The 16,028-nt window shown below is 41.0% G+C and overlaps 1 protein-coding gene across 11 annotated transcripts in view; it reads right to left on the reverse strand.

The window, feature by feature from the left end:
• ZFP64 (ZFP64 zinc finger protein) overlaps positions 1-16,028 on the reverse strand; it is a 107,769-nt gene that overhangs the window by 56,759 nt on the left and 34,982 nt on the right. For 7 of the 11 annotated variants that reach the window (XM_017027946.3, NM_199426.2, NM_022088.5 and 4 more), the window contains one exon: positions 10,509-12,659. The exons of the other annotated variants lie outside the window; for them this stretch is intronic. In XM_017027946.3, coding sequence (XP_016883435.1) covers positions 11,377-12,659 — 1,283 coding nt within the window. In that variant the 3' untranslated portion in view covers positions 10,509-11,376. Of the gene's footprint in view, positions 1-10,508; positions 12,660-16,028 lie in introns of those variants that run through there. 11 annotated transcript variants of the gene reach the window in all.

Below are 16,028 nucleotides of genomic sequence, written 5' to 3' on the forward strand. Positions count from 1 at the left end.
TTATAAAAATAGTAGATAAAACCGTCTCCTACTGGAAGAAGATACCATCTAGGATGTTCATAGCTAGAGGGGAGAAGTCAATGTCTGGCTTCAAAGCTTCAAAGGATAGGCTGACTTTCTTGTTAGGGGCTAATGTAGCTGGTAACTTGAAGTTGAAGCCAGTGCTCATTTACCATTCCAAAAATCCTAAGGCCCTTAAGAATGAGGCTAAATCTACTGTCTAGGCTCTAAAAATGGAACCATGAAGGCTGGATGACAGCACCTCTGTTTACGGCATGGTTTACTGAATATTTAAAGCCCCATGTTGAGACCTACTGCTCAGAAAATAGGTTCCTTCCACAATATTACTGCTTATTGACAATACATCTGGTCACCCAAGAGCTCTGATGGAGATGTACAAGGAGACGAATGTTGTTTTCATGCCTGCTAACATAACCTCCATTCTGTAGCCCATGGATGAGGGGGTAATTTTGACCTTGAAGTCTTATTATTGAAGTAATACATTTTGTAAGACTATAGCGGTGATAGTGATTCCTCTGATGCATCTGGGCAAAGTAAATTGGAAACCTTCTAAAAAGGATTCAATATTCATTTATTTTTTTCACCAGAACATCAAGGTGAGGGATTCACCATTCTAAATGCCATGAAGATCATTCATGATTCTTGGGGGGAGGTCAAAATATCAACCTTAGCAGGAGTTTGTAAGAAGTTGATTCCAACCATCATAAATGAACTTGAGGGGGTTCAAGACCTCAGTGGAGGAAGTAACTGCAGAGATGGTAGAGATTGCAAGAGAACTAGAATTAGAAGTGGAACCTGAAGATGTGGCTGAATTGCTGCAATCTTATGAGAGAACTTGAATGGATGAGGAATTTCTTCTTATGGCTGAGCAAAGGAAGTGGTTCCTTGAGATAGAATCGACTCCTGGTAAAGATGTTCTGAACATTGTGAAAATGACAACAAACAACTTAAAATATTACATAGCCTTAGTTGATTAGGCAGTGTCAGGTTTTGAGAGGATTGAATCCAATTTTGAAAGCAGTCTTACTGTGAGTAGAATGATGTCCAACAGCATTGGATGCTGCAGAGAAATCTTTCATGAAAAGATTTAATTATGTCTTTTGCAGCAACACAGATGAAACTGGAGGCTATTATTTTACATGAAATAACTCAGAAACAGAGAGTCAAACACCGCATGGTCTCACTTATAAGTGGGAGCTCAATAATATTTATACATGGGCATACAGTGTGGAATAGTAGACATTACAGACTCAGAAGGATGGGAGGGAGGTAAGGGATAAGAAATTGCTTAATGGGCCTGGCGCGGTGGCTCACACCTGTGATCCCAGCACTTTGGGAGGCCAAGGTTTGCGGATGACCTGAGGTCAGGAGTTCGAGACCAGTCTGGCCAAGATGGTGAAACCCCCATCTCTACTAAAAATACAAAAATTAGCTGGGCATGGTGGCATGTGCCTGTGATCCCAGCCACATGGAAGACTGAAGCAGGAGAATTGCTTGAACTCGGGCGGCGGAGGTTGCAGTGAGCCGAGATTACGCCACTGCACTCCAGCCTAGGCGACAGAGTGAGACTTCATCACACACACACAGACACACACACACACACACACACACACACACACACACACACAAATTGCTTAATGGGTAAAATGTACATTATTTGGGTGATAGTTACATTAAAAGCCCAGATTTCACCTCTATGCAATATATCCATGTAACAAAACTGCATGCACTTGTATCCCTTAAATTTATACCAAAAAAGGCAAAAAAGAGGCCAAGTGCGGTGGCGCATGCCTGTAATCCCAGCACTTTGGGAGGCTGAGGCGGGCTGATCACAAGGTTAGGAGTTTGAGACCAGCCTGACCAACATGGTGAAACCCTGTCTCTACTAAAAATATAAAAATTAGCTGGGTGTGGTGGGGTGCACCTGTAATCCCAGCTACTCAGGAGGCTGAGGCAGGAGAATTGCTTGAACCCAGGAGGCGGAGGTTGTAGTGAGTTGAGATCATGCCATTGCACTCCACCCTGGGCGACAGAGTGAGACTCCATCTCAAAAAAAAAAAAAAAAAAAGCAAAAAAGAGGAAGAGTCCATTGATGTGGCAAACTTTGTTGTTGTCTTATTTTAAGAAATTACTACAGCTACCCCAACCTTCAGCAACCACAACCCTGATAAGTCAGCAGCCATCAGCATTGAGGAAGACCCTTTATCAGCAAAATGACTGCAACTTGCTGAAGGCTCATATGATTGTCAGCATTTTTTTAGCAACATAGTATTTTTAAATTAAAGTATGTACTTTTTAAAGTCATAATGCTATTGTGCCCTGAATAGACTATAGTATGGTATAAACATAACTTTTATATGCACTGGGAAATTTAAAAATACGTGTGACTCACTTTATTGTGATATTTGCTTTATTGTGGTGGTCTGGAACCAAACTCACAATATCTCCGAAACATGCCTGTACTTGAAAAATAGGAAACATACCTTTATATAACCCCTGGATTCTGGCCCTATCCCCTTTAAAGCAACCAACTAACCATCCCTAAAACTGAAATAACAAAGTCTAGAAGTTTATGGAAAGAAGGGCATGTCATATAAAAGTTTATAGGGATGGATATAAGGACAAGTTTTGAATGATTTTGTAGGCAATAAAGATTACAGGATATCCTGTCAGTTCCCAGTTCTGGATTATCTGCTTCTATAGAGGTTAGTGCTCTTTATTGTTGTTTTTGAGCTATTTTACGACTTAGTTTTTTTTTTTTTAGACACAGTCTCACTCTGTCACCAAGGCTAGAGTGCGGTGGCACATGATCACAGCTCACTGCAGCCTCAACCTCCCCAGCTCAAGTGATCCTCTAATCTCAGCCTCTAGAGTAGTTGGGGCTACAGGTGCACACCACCACACCCGGCCAATTTTTTTTTTTATTATTAATAGTATTTGTAGAGACAGGGTCTCCCCTATGCTGCTCAAGCTGGTCTGGAATCCTTGGGCTCATGTGATCCTTTTGCCTTGGCCTCCCAAAGTGCTGAGATTATAGGCGTGAACCACCATGCCTGGCCATTTTATAACTTTGCAAGTTACAGAAATAGATAGTGTTGCAAATAACTCATCCACAGGACTGCAAACAGATTTCGTTTGATGGAACACAGCTAATTACTACTCTGGAGATACTGACCAGTTTTGGATCTGTTGGTGAATTTATTTCAGCATTCCTGATTGCCTATGTAATCATGCATTTGTTAATCCTCCTTTGAGCCTGTTGTGATAGTTTGCTGATTCCCCCTTTAATTAATGAATTAAATACTTGACGTGTTAATCTTATATTTGTAGGACAGTCATGATTTTAACTTAAAAAATTATCTTTTAACACAGGTGAAGGCATAATGGAAAATATATAGCTTTAAATGTTTTTATTACTAAAGACTAAGTGAACTTAATACATGAAATTAGAATAACAAAATAAAATGAAAGAAAAGCAGGGGAAAGAAGTATTAAAATAAAAGCTGAGGCCAGGCATGGTGGCTCACACCTACAATCCCAGCACTTTGGGAGGCCAAGGCGGGCAGATCACGAGGTCAAGAGATCAAGACTATCCTGGTCAACATGGTGAAACCCCGTCTCTACAAAATATACAAAAAAATTAGCTGGGTGTGGTAGCGTGCACCTGTAGTCCCAGCTATTCGGGAGGCTGAGGCAGGAGAATCGCTTGAATTCGAGAGGTGGAGGTTGCAGTGAGCCGAGATCGCGCCACTGCACTCCAGCCTGGTGACAGAGCGAGACTCCGTCTCAAAAAAAAAAAAAAAAAAAAAAAATGCTGAAAGCTGAAATGAATGAAATGGAGGAGGGGTAGAGAAATAAATAAAAGCAAAAGTGCTACTTTTACTTTAATACAAATGACTAAATAAGTAAACCCTTAGCATACTAAGTAGAAGACTAAAAATACAACAATAAAAAAAGAAACCCCAAAACCAGTAGTAACAAGAAAGGTGGTGGACCCCCAAATGCTAAAGATATTAAAATATTTTAAAAAGAAAGTTAAATGGAATCATAGGGCCACGTAATTGAAAATTTAGAGCAGAGTAAATGATGTTTTTTCTTTTGCTAAATATAAACTACTAAAATTGATCCAGATAAGGTATACAACCTGAACAGATCAGTAATTACAGAAAATAATTGGGAAATTTGTTAAGAATGTTACAGTGAAAAAGAGTATCAGCCAAGATAACAGAACAGATAATTTCTGAGATAGTCAAACTATTTCAGGTCACCGAAAAAGAAGAAAAGAGCTCCAGCTTATTTTTAGAGTTGCACAAGCTCCAATTTATTTTTAGAGTTGCATAAGAAACAAGCAAAAATCAGAGATAGCACTAAAAAAGAAAACTAGAGACCAGCTGCATGTATGTGTATACAGTCGTTGCCACTTATCAACAGGGATCCATTCTGAGAAATAGGGCGTAGCCTATGGCTCTTAGGCTAGAAATCCATACAGCACGTGAATGTGCTGAGTACTATAGGTAATGGTAACACAATGGTAAGTACTTGTCTATCTAAATATAACTAAACATAGAAAAGGTACTGTAGCCCAGGCGTGGTGGCTCATGCCTGTAATCCCAGCACTTTGGGAGGCTTAGGTGGGTGGATCACTTGAGCCCAGGAGTTTGAGACCAGCCTGGGCAGAATGGCAACACCCCATCTCTACAAAAAATATGTGGTGGTACATGCCTGTGGTCCCAGCTACTTGGGAGGCTGAGGTGGGAGGATCACCTGAGCCTGGGGAGGTAGAGGCTGCAGTGAGCTGTGATTGTGCCACTGCACTCCAACCTGGGTGATAGAGTAATACCCTTTCTCAAAAACAAAACAAAACAAAACAAAAGTACAGTAAAAGTATGGTATAAAAGATAAAAATATGGTGCACCTGTTTAGGACACTTATCATGAATGGAGCTTGCAGGACTGGAAGTTGCTCTGGGTGAGTCAGTGGGTGAGTGGTGAGTGAATGTGAAGGCCTAGGTCATGACTGTGTACTACTGCAGACCTTATAAACACTGTACACTTAGACTACTCTAAATTTATTAAAAAAGTCTTTCTTCAGTAGTAAATTAAGTATAGCTTATTGTAACTGTTTTACTTTATACATGTATTAATTATATTTTGACTTATCAAAATCTTTTGTAATAACACTCAGCTTAAAACACAAGCATTGTACAACTGTACAAAAATATTCTTTCTTTATATCCTTATTCTATAAGCCTTTTCTATTTTATTTTTTTCTTTTACTTTTTCAACTTAAAAAAAAAACAAACTAAGACACAAACATGCGCATTAGCCTCAGCCTATGCAGGGTCAGGATCATCAAGATATCAGTAGGCAATAGAAATGTTTCAGCTCCTCAGAGATCTAGAACTAGAAATACCATTTGACCCAGCCATCCCATGCTGGGTATATACCCAAAGGGCTATAAATCATGCTGCTATAAAGACACATGCACACATATGTTTATTGCGGCACTATTCATAATAGCAAAGACTTGGAACCAATCCAAATGTCCAACAATGATAGACTGGATTAAGAAAATGTGGCACATATACACCATGGAATACTATGCAGCCATAAAAAATGATGAGTTCATGTCCTTTGTAGGGACATGGATGAAATTGGAAATCATCATTCTCAGTAAACTATCGCAAGGACAAAAAACCAAACACCGCATGTTCTCACTCATAGGTGGGAATTGAACAATGAGAACACATGGACACAGGAAGGGGAACATCACACTCTGGGGACTGTTGTGGGGTGGGGGGAGGGGAGAGGGATAGCATTAGGAGATATACCTAATGCTAAATGACGAGTTAATGGGCGCAGCACACCAGCATGGCACGTGTATACATATGTAACTAACCTGCACATTGTGCACATGTACCCTAAAACTTAAAGTATAATAAAAAAAAGAAATGTTTCAGCTCCATTATTCTTATGAGATCACCATTGTAACATGCAGTCTGTTGTTGACCAAAATGCTCTTATGTAGCACATGAACTAGAGTTGCAAAACTTCCAGATAAGATATTAGAAAACGAAATCCAGCAGTGTTTTGGAAGAATAATTCAACATGACCAAGAGGATTTCTTCCAGGAATGCAAGGTGACTTAACATACCAGGCTATATGCTACACAAATTCACTGTGTCAACATATTTAAGTGCAAAACCCAAATACTTACGGCTAACAATTTTAAGAAGATATTTGATAAAATTCAGCAAGCTACCCTGATAAGTAAAACTGCATCAGTATTTTATATGAACTTATCAAAAGAATGACTATGAAAATATTAAGTCTTCCACTCAAAAACCCTTATTTAACTCCATTGTAAACATTATTCAGTCAAATTATGTAGTCTATTTTCATTATATAAGGTCTGTGTTTCTTTTTTTTTGAGATGGAGTTGCACTCTGTCACCCAGGCTGGAGTGCAGTGGCGCAATTTTGGCTCACTGCAGCCTCCACCTCCTGGGTTCAAGCAATTTCACTCTAAGTGAAAACTGGAGTGGAAGAAAATGACCTAAGTACCATAAAAACCATTATCCAAAGGAGTGGTGTATATTACATTGGAAAATTCTGAAGTTAGAATTAGGGACACAGCAAGGATGCCAGCTGTATCAGCATTGTTTGGAGGTTCTGGCTAAAGCAACAGGACAAGAAAACAAAATAAGTAGTAAAAATATTCTAAAGGAAGAGATGAAACAATCTGAAAATAAAAGACTATATCAGATAATTATAAATCATATTTATCAGAGACCAAGAATTTCTAATAAATACCATTCATTACTGAGAATTTTTCTTTAATATAGACAAATATACCCTATTTTGGCTTTTCTTGATGTTTGCAACAAATGCAAAAATTCCTATTCACAATTATGATAAAATTATGGAATAATAAGAAAACACAGGACCGGGCACCGTGGCTCACACCTGTAATCCCAGCACTTTGGGAGGCCGAGGCAGGCGGATCACTTGAGGCCAGGAGTGCAAGACCAGCCTGGTCCACATGGCGAAACCCCATCTCTACTAAAGATACACACAAAAAAATTAGCCAGGCATGGTGGCAGGCGCCTGTAATCCCAGCTACTCAAGAGGCTGAAGTGGGAGAATCTCTTGAACCCAGGAGGTGGAGGCTGCAGTGAGCCAAAATTGGGTGGAAGACTTAATATTTTCATAGTTGTGCTTTTGATAAGTTCATATAAAATACTGATGCAATTTCAATAAAAATCTCCAAAAGGTTTTCTTTTTTGGTGGGGGTGGTTTAGGTACTGGATAAAATAACAGTTCCTTTGGAAGAATAAATATCTAAGAATTGCTAAGAACATTTTGGAAAATAATAGCTGGGGGAAGCTTTGTAAGTCTAAAAGATTAAGCTTACCTTAATGCTAGTATAATCAAATATGTCATGTTGGCCAGCCAGATCTTCTTTGGGAATCTCAGATCTATAATCTTCCAGAATAAAGAAGTTCTGGAAGTATATTTGTGAACTTTATCTACACGATGGCTTAAATTAGGATTTCAGTTTTCAGGAAAATAATATTTAACAAATGGTCCTGGCATAAGTGGACAGTCAAACCTGTTCATCATAACATATAAATATGAGTTCTTGGCATGAGCTGTAATCCCAGCACTCTGAAAGGCCGAGGTGGGCAGATCACTGGAGGCCAGGAGTTTAAGACGAGCATGGCCAACATGGCGAAATCTCGTCTCTACTAAAAATACAAAAATTAGCCAGGTGTGGTGGCACACGCCTGTGATCCCAGCTACGTGGGAGGCTGAGGCAGGAGAATCACCTGAGCCTGGGAGGCAGAGCAGGTAGTGAGCTGAGATCGCGCCACGGCACTCCAGGCTGGGCGACAGCCAGACTCTGTCTCAAAACAAGAAAAAAAAAAAAAAAAGAATTCTGGCTGCAGCAAGGAGCCATTGAAAAACAAATAAGCAAGCAGTAAAAACACTAAAGGGAAAACCAGTTTAATCTCAGGGGAAGGATGGACGTTCTTAGAAAACACACGTGCCACAAATGAAGCGACAGAAGAATCTAACTACAGAAAAAGACAGTCATTTTTATATGGTGACAGCCCCACAGGTAAAGTCAAAAGACAATGACAGGAGGGGAAGAAACTCAGCAATGTGTGACTGATGTCGGGTTAATGTCCCCAACTTCCCAACAACCAAAAGGAGGGAGTAAGAGTTCTAAGTTCATAGAAGAGAGAAGCACACATGGTCAACCAGCCCTATGCAGAGACGTCTCAGAAAACGCAGACCACAGCACCAGCTAGGGGAGTGCACAAAGGCCAGATAACCATTTTCACGCAGCAGAGTGATAAAACTTCCAAAGGTAGTTGAGCTCACATCAGGGATGAGACTATCATTGTGAAAATTAATCCGTATTTATGCAAGTACAAACTATGGAAACTCCGTGAAACTTACACTTTTGAATCTACTTACAGAAAAAAAAAAAAAAAAAGCTGAATATGAGAGTTTACTGGGGCAGTCGTAATGGCAAAAATATTCCCCAAACAACCTGAAGAATCATAATAGCAAGATGACGGACTAAAGCCTGGCATGTCTCTAACACTTATTTAAAAAAACTAGGTCTAGTTTTGTTGACCCACAGGACTGTCAATAAATGGAATAATCAAAGCAAGTTGCAGAGAAATGTACAGAGTATGATACAATTACTATAGAACTAGGAAAAACCTTTTCTATGTTATCTTTTGAGTCTACGTATATTGGTAAGAACACAGAGCACCTAACATTACTTACCTTGGGTGGGGTGAGAATACGGAGGGGCTGGAAGTTGTTGGCTTGGTGTTTGTACAATTCTGTGTATAATTTATTCCAAAGAGTAAGTTTTACTGTTTTGTTTGTAAAAAGACAAAACAACCAACAAATCAAATATGCATGTGTGTACATCTCTATGCATGCATGTGTATGTATGTATGTATGTGTATGTATTATATATGGAAGGCAGCTGGTAGGTAGAGATCTAAGGATACAAAAGGAAATATAGAATATAAAAAATATTATGCTTAATTAAACTACAACTTCATAACTGGAGTAGAAAACATATATACGTAAGCATAAAAAAAGATTGATAGGGGCCAGGTACGGTGGCTCACACCTGTAATCCCAGCACTTTGGGAGACCGAGGTGGGTGGATCACAAGGTCAGGAGATCGAGACCATCCTGGCTACGGTGAAACCCTGTCTCTACTAAAAATACAAAAAATTAGCCGGACTTGGTTGCGGGTGCCTAGAGTCCCAGCTACTCAGGAGGCTGAGGCAGGAGAATGGTGTGAACCCGGGAGGCGGAGCTTGTAGTGAGCTGAGATTGCGCCACTGCACTCCAGCCTGGGCAACAGAGTGAGACTCCACCTCAAAAAAAAAAAAAAGACTGATAGGAAGTCCATCAAAATGGTTACAATCTGTATAGTTTATATCTGGACAGTAAGATTATTAGTAACTTCTATTTTTTTCCTAGTAATATTCTGTTTTTCATATTTTCTATCTTGAATACACATTATAATCAGGAAAAAATCCTTTATGGTTGAAAAAAGTGGGAAAAGAGAAAGACATAGGAAATAGGACCATGACAATGGAAGTTTCCCAGCTGAAATTCAAAAGCAGAACAGTTTTTCTAAAGGGCTGTAAGCAATAAGTTTAAAGTGACAAAATTATTTAAATCACTAACATTGTACACTGCAAGCCTTTTCTGTTTCTTACCAAAAACATAGTTAATAACTCACTATTATCATTGATGATAGGAAAATAAAGAAATTATGGCAAATATAGCAAGTCATCAAAATTGTGTCCAACTATTACAGATCAAAGAAAGAAGAATAAAAGTGGTAGAAATGTATCTAAGTATTCTCATAATATTCTAAATATGCTTCTGTCCCAAGAGTAACCTCCCCTCCTCACCAATCCTTGCTGACAGCAGAAATGAGTGCTATTACAACCTTACAGAATGGCTTAAGGTACAAATATGGATGATTCTAGCTTGCTCTCTGGCACCACCTACTGATCAAACAGCATTTCAATGTAAAACAACACAATCTGAATTTTCCTCTTCTCAATACAACCTATGCTTTGGAAAAAATCTAGGTACTCTCTCAGTCCACTCATCTGGATTCTGCACAGATATTAACATCTCAAAAATGGTATTCTAGAAAATTCTGTCTTGTTAGTAGGAACTTTGATCATTTTTGTGTCTAAACAGAAATGCCAGGATTGTCAGTCTGAAGTTTCAAAATGAAAACAACAGTGGGATGGATCACTTTATCACTTTAGGTACCACATCTATTTAATGTGACTGTGGAGGAGGTAAGATGATTGTGTGACGTTTATGAAAGGACTAAAAACCTTTGCTGCTTCAGTTTGTTTTTGATTAATGACTCACGCCCCATCATTCCCAAATCCCACCTTGGCTCTAAAGAATCATTAACATTCAGTATATTTTAATCAGATATCAATTTATTATGGAACCATTCATTTTCTGCTCATTAGCACTAAACATTTTTTTTTGGGTCAAGTATCCATGTCATATTATGTAGAAAATGGTCCTTCATGCCAACAGACTTACATGTATAAAACATGAACACCCCCAAACTCTGGGGAGTATTCCAGAATGGGGCAAAAGAGAGGCTGGGAAGTACCATTTACTACACAAATGTAATAAGATGGACAGAAACCTTTATTAGAGTTGGAAAATCAAGTTGGAAACAAACACATGAATTCACTACTTAATGCATTTAATTCCAACCCCTCATTGGAATCATCTTGGTAACATTTAAGATTCTACAACAGTTATAATGCGACGATTCAGAGGTGGTCTCAAAGTTGTTACAGTGTTAAAAAAATTATAGTAAGCAGTATAAAATTACAATTTATTATGGGGCCAGGGGGATTCACAACCATCCTTAAAAACATTAAGAGCAAACCACGGCCAGGCATGGTGGCTCACACCTGTAATCCCAGCACTTTGGGAGGCTGAGGTGGGCAGATCACTTGAGGTCAGGAGTTCAACATGATGAAACCCCGTCTCTACTAAATATACAAAAATTAGCCAGTCATGATGTCGTACACCTGTGGTCCCAGCTACTCGGAGGGCTGAGGCATGAGAATCGCTTGAACCTGGGAGGCGGACGTTGCAGTGAGCCAAGATAGCGCCACTGCACTCCAGCCTGGGAAACAGAGCGAGACTCCGTCTCAAAAACAAAACAAAACAAAGAAAACATTAAGAGCAAACCTTTTAGAGAATTCTACTTAAGATTTCTTTTTCTCAATTCCTTTCCCCCACTCCTTTTGTTTTTTTAAGCACTAATCTGGAATGGAGTCGGCGGGACAGAGCAAAGCTGGATGGGCTGCCCCTTGAATGATGGAGTAGGTCTGCTTGGGTAGTTCTTGCTGGGAAGAGGAGGAGAAGACCGGTGGCGCTGTGGTGGCCACTGCGATGTTCTGGCCTCCATCGCTCACCACTGTCACTTCTGCTGTCCCCTCCTGAATCAAGGCGTTTAGGCCTTCAAAGTCAGTGCAAGTAATACCCGAACTGGTAATGAAAGTTTGATTGCCAGAGCCTTCCTGGGGGCCACCTGAGGCCGTGGGGATGAGAGTCTGGTGCAGAGTGGCTCCGTCCGTCTGCTCGTGGGTGGTCAGCAGGACAGCCGGCTGGGTCATTGCGCCCGCCTCGCTCGGACACCGCGAGGACTGAGGGGGGGCGATCAGACTGACCTGGCGCAGGATCTGCAGCCGGCTGTTCCCTGGGAGTTCCTCTGGGTTCTGGGCCACCAAGGCAGGCGGGACGATGTTCACTGCAGCGGCGGCAGCCTGGACGATGGTGTTCGCCTGGGGCACCTGATGCCCAACGATGATTTTGACTCTTCCCTCGCTGAACTGGGGCACTTGGCTGGGCTGGAGGGGCACCTGGAGGTGTCCCACAGTGAGGGGCGTGGCGGGCTGCTTGCTGGGGTCGATCTGAAACTGGAGAACGGTCACGTCCGAGTTCTTACTCTCACTGTACTCACTGTGCTGTCTCTTGTGGCTGCGGAGCGAGTCCTCCCGCATGAAGGAGGCATCGCATATATCGCAGTGGAAACTCTTCTTGGCATCCAGCTTGGCCACCTGCCGGCTGCTCTGCCTGCCGGTGTCCTTCCTCTCTAGAGCCTCAGTCTTAACCATGTCCCCATGGAACTTCTTCATGTGCTTGCTCAGGTTGCTGGGCTGTTTGGTGTCGAAGCTGCAGTAGTTGCACTTGAAAGGGCGGTCGGTGCAGTGGATACGCTCGTGGATGCGCAGGGCGGCCTTGCTGGAGCAGGAGTAGCTGCATTCCGAGCACTTCTCAGGATGCTCCGACTGGTGCACGCGGCTGTGCTTCCGGAGGGTGGCTTTGCTGTCACCCAGGAAGTCGCAATGAGGACACTTGAAGTTATTCCCGCTGTGCTTGATACGGATGTGCGACTTGAGGTTCCCCTTCATGGTGCAGCGGACATTGCAGAACTCGCACTTGAAAGGCTTCTCCCCCGAGTGCACCCGCATGTGCCTTTTCAAGTCCGAGCTGATTTTGAACTTGGCGCTACAGAGCCAGCACTGGAAGGGGGCGTCCCCTGTCAACACAAGGTGAGTTTCGATAAGAACAGGCAGGCAACAACCACAGCGGATCCCCCCGAAGCACACACCAGAAAATCGCTTATACAAGGTGGGTGGGTGCAGACCTCCTAACTGCAGCTTCTAGCAGCCCCTGGCAGTGGGGGAAGAGGGGCAGGGCGTCTTTATCTTTCCCCGGAACCCAAACCACCACCACCGGTATCAAACCCAGAAGAAAAATGGGAGATCGAAAAGAGCAATTTAATTGTCCCAGATAAAATAAGATTTACAAGTATACTTGTTATATTCTTTAAAACACTCAAACTATCTTTCATACAGTTAATTTGCCCACTCTGCTAGTTAATGGTTCACAGTTGAAGACTTTTGCACAACCCGTTGATTTTGATTGAGTTACATGTTGTAACAGATTCAACAATATATTTTCGAATGGGTCAGCTCCGTGCTGCACTCATTGGAGTATGGTTTTACAATGACTGAAACACCCAGCTTATATTTCATGCAGATCTTTATTAATAAAGATGTGTTTCTTGCACAAAATTTATTTATCCCATATTGCCAGCTGCGTTCTTTACTTGTGAAGTTACAAAATCCAGCTGCTTGATTTTTTTTAAAAAAAATTCATATTCGCTGAAAGATGAGCAAGGCAAGTGAAATTGCAAACATCTGATTGGATACCATATTCCAAATTTACTTCCTCAATGAATGCCAAGTCCAAATTATCTGAGGCAATGACAATTCAAGCAAATTGGCGACCCCTCATCTCAACATTGTTTAAGTAAGCAAAATAGCAGCTAATATTCTTCGATGGCTTCCGGGATGGCAGGCGCTATGCTGAGCACTCCACAAGCATGGTCTCGCTTGATGCTGGGAAGATTGCCCTGTGGTGGGTGCTATTATTAATATTGTTTTTTAACACAGTTACACAGAGGAGAAGGCTGAGACCCAGACAGACTACATAACTTGTTCTTGGTCGCCCCGTAGTACAAAGAAGGGCTTGGATTCCAATCCAGGCTGACTCCACAACTGGTATCTTTAGATGCTAGGTAATTATCTGTGCATATAACTGATGTTTGCTTTCTTAGGTCATAAACCCACAAGACTGGGATGGTGTTCCAGCTTTTTGACATAGGATCTGCTACTTCACCATGAGCTGCTTAATGAATGCAAACAAAGATGGCAGGAGGCAATTGAACAAGCTTCTAGAACACTGAGAGGCCTAAACCTAAACTTGAAAAAAATGCTTTGTATGACTGAATACCACCAAGATCATGCATACTAAACTCTAGAACAAGGAAGAGTAAGCTACAGCCTATGGGCTAGATCCTGCCCACAGCCTGTTTCTATAAATAAAGTTTTACTGAAACACAACCATGCATATTTGTTTACATATGGTTACTTGCCTGCCATAATGGTAGGGGTGAGTATTTGTGATAGATACTGCATGGCCCACAAAACCTAAAATATTTACTATCTGGCCCTTTTCAGAAAAAGGGCCGTTTGCTGCCTGAGAATGTTGTTCTTAACCTTTTTTATGCCATTACCCCTTTTTGGCAGTTTAGTGAAGTCCATGGAACCCTTCTTAGATAATGTTTTAAATGTACCAAATAAACTAAAATAAAAACCAATAGGAATATAAAAGAAACTAATTATATTAAAATAGTTATTACAGAGAAAAAATTGTGATATGCCAATGTGTGTGTTTCATTAATGAATTCAAGAATCAGACCTAGCGGCAGCTCTAGTAACTACAGTCATTTCTAAATAAAGAAGAGTGTAAAAGATATTTGCTCCATCTGCAGCAATCATTATGAAGAGATTTTTGATTTCCGCTGGCGACAACTTTACATGCACTGTTATCAGATTGGTTGCCTGTTTTCATAATTGAAGGACGTGTCAAATTTTAATACAGGCTAGTGAAAATGAAGACGTCTTTGTTTTCCCCACCCCCATTCAAGGACCTCCTTCCCAAATCTACTCATGGATTTCTCAGGGGCAGACGTCTGTAGACTCAAAGTCAGAATCCTTGCTCCAGAATGTTTTACTAGGTTTTCCAGTTATATCCCTGTCAAAATTATAGTGACAGTCTTTTTTCACTTTTTTTAAGCAATCTGCAGAGGTGAGACCCAGAAAATCCAGAAAACCAAATCTCGCAGCTAAGTTGCAGAGCTTAACAACGTTTTTTGGCATGAAAGCAAAGGTTTTAAATTCCTTTGTCTTTTTTTTTTTAATTTAACCATAAACATTTCTTTAATGAAGTATCCTGGTCAAATAGTCCCACTGGACACTAAGGTCTTCAAAGCTAATGACTATGTTCATTCTTGCCTACTACCTGATTCCCACTGTGTCTGGCACATAGCGAGGTTTAAAGAATGTTGGATGAATGAGCGACATATATTTAAGCTGACAGGTCCTCCTTGAGTTTGGGTTGCTACTAAAACAAGTGTTGATGTAGTCTATCCAATTGCCGAAAGGGTAAAAACAAAATCCTATTAATTTACAGTTTTACCAGTGCCACAGATTTATAAAAGGGAAAATGAACATTCCACGAAGACCATGCATAAATGGCACACACTGAAATTTTTGAAAAACACACCTTTTCTAGACCAATTTTAAAGATGCTGCTATAAATAGTAACTTCATCCTTATCAATCAAAATGAACCATTTTCATAAATGAATTTTTCAGCTTCTCTAACTTAGGCTGGGGGAAATTTCTGAAGCAAATCAGTTGGGCGTCGATTATGCCAATGTCTGAACTTGCTGTAGATTATAAAAATGTTCCCAAATCTTCCCACCTCCCACCCCTCCTTTAGCACGGCCTCTGCCATGTATGTAGTTAGGCATGTTCTCCCGTGATCCATGACAAAAGCCTCAACCATGTCGTTGGGTTTGGCCAATGGTATGTTTAGTAACTTGAAACAAGGAATGGCTTGAAATGGGCTTGTGCACTGGGGCTTGCTTGCTTGCTTACACCTCGGTCATGACCATGCGGTCAATCCTGGCCTAACCTGCTGGTCTCAGAAGGCCAAGAGACATGTGGAGCAGAGCTGATTTCCTCAGCCAAGGCCAGTGGACAGCCAGCCCATAACCAGCAGATCCTCAGACTAATAAGAGAGCCCAGCCAAGGTCAGCTGGTTTGCCCAGCTGATCCCCGCATGGGAACCAGAAAAAGCATATTGCATCTATTGAGGTTTTGTGGGCTATTACGCTGCATCACTGTGACAACAGACAATGGATACAGATATTGGTATCTAGAAAAAGGGTGACGCTGTAACAGAAAACCATAATACAGAGTATTGGTTTTGAGATTCGGTTGCATGTGGAGGCTGGAAAAATGGCAATGCACACTACTTAATGGCAAACATTTGGT

The sequence above is a fragment of the Homo sapiens genome, chromosome 20 (assembly GCF_000001405.40).
Source record: "Homo sapiens chromosome 20, GRCh38.p14 Primary Assembly".
Lineage (NCBI taxonomy): Eukaryota > Metazoa > Chordata > Mammalia > Primates > Hominidae > Homo > Homo sapiens.